Source organism: Homo sapiens, chromosome 16 (genome assembly GCF_000001405.40).
Source record: "Homo sapiens chromosome 16, GRCh38.p14 Primary Assembly".
In the NCBI taxonomy this organism is placed as follows: Eukaryota; Metazoa; Chordata; class Mammalia; order Primates; family Hominidae; genus Homo; species Homo sapiens.
This window is the reverse complement of record NC_000016.10, coordinates 34,428,683-34,434,636: the sequence shown is the minus strand read 5'-3', so window position 1 is coordinate 34,434,636 and position 5,954 is coordinate 34,428,683. Positions and strand designations below refer to the sequence as shown.

The 5,954-nt window shown below is 42.6% G+C and overlaps 1 long non-coding RNA gene across 1 annotated transcript, besides 1 other annotated feature; it reads right to left on the bottom strand.

Moving 5' to 3' along the window:
* Positions 1–5,954: part of a sequence alteration artifact (region identified as an assembly artifact by the Genome Reference Consortium. This region falsely duplicates sequence located at GRCh38 chr16:34827082..35072498) that runs on past both edges of the window.
* LOC102724523 (uncharacterized) lies at positions 1,523–2,778 on the bottom strand. Its single transcript, XR_429709.3, has 2 exons — positions 2,542–2,778; positions 1,523–1,992 (listed from the first exon to the last, which is right to left on the bottom strand). It is a non-coding gene; the product is annotated as an uncharacterized LOC102724523 (long non-coding RNA).

Here is a 5,954-nt window from a genome sequence, read left to right as displayed (position 1 = left end):
TATAAATAATATTTAAAAGCATTGTCTTGAGAAATAGTTTGATAATCTTTCCATTTGAATAAAAGATGAGACTGTCATGTACAGCATCTCTTTCACTGCTAATAGAAAAGAATGCAAACTTTCTGTGAAGAGAAGTAAACACCACATCAAAGAAAAGATAGATGTGTTACTAATTCAAGGCTACATGGAGATTTTGTTGTTTTTGTTTTTGTTTTTTTCTGAGATGGAGTTTCGCTTTTGTTGCCCAGGCTGGAGTGCAATGGCTTGATCTTGGCTCACCGCAACCTCTACCTCCCGGGTTCAAGTGATTCCCCTACCTCAGCCTCCCGAGAAGCTGGGATTACAGGCATGCACCACCATGCCCGTCTAATTTTTTGTATTTTTAGTAGAGATGGGGTTTCCCCATGTTGGTCAGGCTGGTCTCAAACTCCCGACTTCAGATGATCCACCTGCCTCGGCCTCCCAAAGTGCTGGGATTACAGGCGTGAGCCACTGTGCCTGGCCAGATTTTTTTTAAAAAATACAATTCAGTCAGTCCTCATTGAAATATAAACAACTGGAAATGTAATGCTAAACTCATTTAAAACTGATTTTTAAAAAAATGTCTCTTTATATTTTTAAGATTTAGGGGCTGGGAGCGGTGGCTCACACCTGTAGTCCCACCACTTTGGGAGGCCGAGTCAGGTAGATCATGAGGTCAGGAGTTCAAGGCCAGCCTGGCCAAGATGGTGAACTCCCGTCTCTACTAAAAAATACAAAAAAAAAAAAAAAATTAGCTGGGCATGGTGGCGGGCACCTGTAATCCTCGCTACTGGGGAGGCTGAAGCAGAGAATTGCTTGAACCTGGGAGGCAAGGGTTCCAGTGAGCCGAGATCATGCCACTGCACTCTAGAAACAAAAAACAAAAACAGAAACAAAAAAACCCAAAATGATTTAGGTATACTTTCAAATCTATTTTAATTTAAAAAAGCTATGAAAAGATTTACATGGCCATTACTTATATTGTTTAAAAAACTTTAAAATTAGACCATATAAGCTATGGATTTGTACCTAAATTTAGAATATAAGTATGCAAAATTACTGTAGATTATTTATTTATTTATTTTTGCTTACCCTACCTGGACTGAGACTGTAGATACTTTATTTAGTGAATATAGAATATGCCAATAAGAAAACCAAGTCATCCTAGGCAGATTTGATGGCTGATGCCTGTAATCCCAGCACTTTGGGAGGCCGAGGTGGGCAGACTGCTGGAGCCCAGGAGTTCGGGACCAGCCTGGGCAAGACAGCAAAACCTCATCTCTACAAAATTTACAAAAAGCTGGATATGGTGGTGCATGCGTGTAGCCACAGCTACTTGGGAAACTGAGGTTGGAGGACCCTTGACCCTGGGAAGTCGAGGCTGCAGTGAGCTGTGATCTCCCTCCTGCACTCCAGCCTGGGTGACAGAGTGAGACTCTGTCTCAAAAAAAGAAATATCGTCATCTAAAACATCAAAGATTAAATGAGAGGACTACATTCACTGAGTACATTATTCTATACCCTTGTAAATGTCTCATAAGTAAATTAACTTAGAAAAATATGTTCTATCAGATGACATTTTGATGATTTATGATGACAACATTCACGAAATGGATTTCCACACAGTTTCTCCCTGATGGACTCAAAAGTGTTCTCTGTGGAAGACACTGAGCCAGACCAAGAAGCATCCAGGCCCGTCAGAAACATGGCAGACAGAGCAAGAGGGAGGACAGTGTAGAGGTCAGAGCCCAGGCGGGATACAGCACAATGCCACCGCCATGGGCTTCCGGGAAGGAGTGCCAAACGGGTGACTTGGCCAGAAAGGCCAGCGTTGGAGTGACAGAGATCCTTGCCACATCCCGTTCTCGACTTCTTCTCCAAGCCTGTGTCGCGGTGGGGCTCCATTTCTCAATGGGAAGAGAGGGCGGGAGGAGTTAGAACCATCTTCTTGGAGGTCGGTCTGCACCTCTCCTGCAGAAGAACAATGAGCTCCGCTGATGCTTTTTTAAATACTATCCTTGGGTGTGGTGAGACCGTCTTGATCCTAGAAAAGAGGCCTCTCAGGATGGGGAGTAGATTTCAACCCCTGCGGGTCCATCGCAGCTACCCGCATTGCCAAGGCCTTCACAAACCCAAACTGGAACCGCCGGGAAAAAGACCAACAACTGGTCAGACGTCCCAGGCAGAGACACAGAAAGAGTCTCACCAAATACAGACCGACATGCAAGAAACAGCCCTCCAGCGCACAGGGCACATTCATCCCAAAACACACACGCACATGGGCACACACAGCCACAGAGGGAGAGAGGAGAGAGAGAGGAAGGAGTGAAAGAAAGACATACACACACACAGACATACAGCAGCGGCACAGAAACACCCAACCCCAGGTAGCCCTTGAGGCTGCCGGGTTCTGCTCTCCGCGAGAACGACAATCGGGTAAGAGAGCAGCCCACGGGCATACTGCAGGCCTGTCCTGTAGATCAGAGGGGGCGCGAGTTGCGGGGAGACTTGCCCACACACCGTCTGGGCAGGCTGAGGCTGGGATCCCGCGCTGCTCTCCTGGGACTCCGCCTGAAGTTTCTTCATCCTGGTCGGCCCTCCGCGACTCCTGGCGTCCGGAGACCATCCCTCTCGAGCTCCTGGAGACGTCAGGGTGGAGTCGCGACACCGACGCACTGCCACGAAGGGGTCCTGCTTTGCCACGCCTCAGGGACCCATCACCAGGCGGACCGTGAAAGTCTCTGTGACTCAAGAATCAGCTCAGGCCTCGCGCATGCGCATTGGCTGCGCCGACTTAAGCTCTGCTCCTGTAAGTCAGGCTGGGGCCTCTTTAAAAAATGGCGGTGGCCTGGCAGTAGCAGCAAGACTGCAATGGCTAGGGTCGGGGAAGCGGGTGGGGGGGCGGGTAGAGGGAGGTGTGGGAGAGTGGGCTGCAAGCAACCCAGAGCCAGACATTCCCCTAGGAGTCCTGTCCTCCTTGAGCTGTCTAGGATAATACATGTAATTATGAATTTATATCAGACTTGACAAGCCCCTTCATTTTATTTTTAATATGATTGTTTCTCTTGAATAATACATGAAAATTATTTTTATTAATTTTCTATAAATTATTGGGGTACAGGTGGTATTTGGTTATATCATATTTTGATGGGATTTTTTTTCTTACTGATTTGTTTGAGTTTGTTGTAGATCCTAGATGTTAGTCTTTTGTCAGATGTATAGATTGTGAAGATTTTCTCCCATTCTGTGGGTTGTCTGTTTACTCTGCTGACTGTTGTCAAAAAGTGGACTAAGGATATGAATAGACAATTCTTAAAATAAGATATACAAATGGCAAACATATGAAAAAATGTTCAACATCACGAATGATCAGGGAAATGCAAATCAAAACCACAGTGCGATACCACTTTGCTCCTGCAACAATGGCCATAATCAAAAAATTAAAAAGCAGTAGATGTTGGTGTGGACGTGGTGAACAGGGAACACTTCTAAACTGCTGCTGGGAATGTAAACTAGTACAACCACTATGGAAAACAGTGTGGAGATTCCTTAAAGAACTAAAAGTAGACCTACCATTTGACCCAACAATCCCACTACTGGGTATCTACCCAGAGGAAAATAAATCATTATTCAAAAAAGATACTTGCACACGCATGTTTACAGTGGCACAATTCACAGTAGCAAAGTCATGGAACCAACCCAAATTCCCATCAATCAACAAGTGGCTAAACAAACTGTGGTAATATATAGATGATGCAATACTTTGCAGCCCTTAAAAGGAATGAATTAACAGCATTTGCAGTGACCTGAATGAGATGAAAGATTATTACTCTAAGTAAAGTAAATCAAAAAAGGAAACCAAACATCAAATGTTCTCACTCATACGTGGGAGCTAAGCTATGTGGATGCAAAGGTGTAGGAATGATACAATGGGCTTTTTGGGGACTTGGGGGGAAGAGAGGGAGGAAGGAGAGGGAGAAAAGACTGCAAATATGGTGCAGTGTATACAACTCAGGTGATGGGTGCACCAAACCTTCACAAATCAACACCAAAGAACTTACTCATGTAACCAAATATCACAATCCTAAATATAGATGCACTTAACACTGGAACTCCCAAATTTATAAAACAATTGCTGATAGACCTAGGAAATGAGATAGACAGCAACACAATAATAGTGGGGGACGTCAATACTCCACTGACAGCACTAGATAGGTCATCAAGACAGAAAGTCAACAAAGAAACAATGGATGTAAATTGCACCTTGGAAGAAATGGACTTAATAGATACATACAGAACATTTTATCCAACAACCACAGAATACACATTGTATTCAACAGCTCATGGAGCTTTCTCCAAGATAGACCATATGATAGGCCATAAAATGAGCCTCACTAAATTTAAGAAAATTGAAATTATATCAAGCACTCTCTCAGACCACAGTGGAATAAAACTGGAAATCAACTCCAAAAGGAACCTTCCAAACCATGCAAACACATGGAAATCAAATAACCTGCTCCTGAATGAGCATTGGGTCAAAAATGAAATCTAGGTGGAAGTTAAACCATCCTTCGAACTGAATGACAATAACGACACTACCTATCAAAACCTCTGGGATACAGCAAAGGTGGTGCTAAGAGGAAAGTTCATAGCCCTAAATGCCTACATCAAAAAATCTGAAAGAACACGGACAATCTAAGGTCACACCTCAAAAAACTAGAGAAACAAGAACAAACCAAACCCAAACCCAGCAGAAGAAAGGAAATAATCAAGATCAGAGCAGAACTAAATGAAATGGAAACAAAAATTACAAAAGATAAATGAGACAAAAACCTGGTTCTTTGAAAATATAAATAAAATTGATAGGCCATTAGCAAGATTAACCAAGAGAAGAAGAGAGAAAATCCAAATAACCTCACTAAGAAATTAAACAGGAGATATTACAACTGACACCACTGAAATACAAAAGATCATTCAAACCTACTCTCAACACCTTTATGCACATTAACTAGAAAACCTAAAAGAGATAGATAAACTCCTGGAAAAATACAACCATCCTAGCTTAAATGAGGAAGAATTAGATACCCTGAACAGACCAATAATGAGCAGCAAGATTGAAATGGTAATTTAAAAATTACCAACAAAAAATGTCCAGGACCAGGTGGATTCACAGCAGAATTCTACCAGACATTCAAAGAAGAATTGGTACCAATCCTTTTGACACTATTTTGACTACTTTTGACACTATTCCACATGATAGAGAAAGAAGGAACCCTCTCTAATTCATTCTAAAGTTGGAAAATTTCTGCAAACAGAAGCTTCTCCAGTGGGAGGATGTGTTAGGGGGAGGAGCGTCTCCCTTTTCCACCTCTGCAGTTGGGGCACTCACAGTATTTGAGGTATCTCCTGGGTCCTGCAGGAGCAGTCCACTTCCTTCAGAGGGTATGTGGGTCCTCTCAGTAGTGCTGGTTTTTCTTGCAGTCAATCTGGAGATAAAATTCACAATGGAAGCCTCCAGATGGTGCTCTATCTGGAGCTGCAATCTAGTCCTGCCTTCCATCCGCCATGATCCCCTCCATTCTGAAAATTATTTTTGAAAATACATGTTTCTTTTAGGTTTTAAATGCACCAAGTTTATGTCATTATGATCTTTATTTCACCATTTTTTCTGATCTAAAGATGTGATTGATTTTCAAACTTTTTTTTATGTCTTTCAGTAAAGTTATGTAAGTTTACACAGTAAAATTTAGAAGAAGGTACAGTGTTCTCATATATATCCTGTTCCACACATACCCAGTTTTCCCCATTGTCCACCCATGGGAGTTCTACATTGTTACAGCTGATGAATTTATATTAACACTTTTTTTTTTTTTTTTTTTTGAGATGGAGTCTCCCTCTGTCATCCAGGCTGGAGTGCAATCGCTCGATCTTGG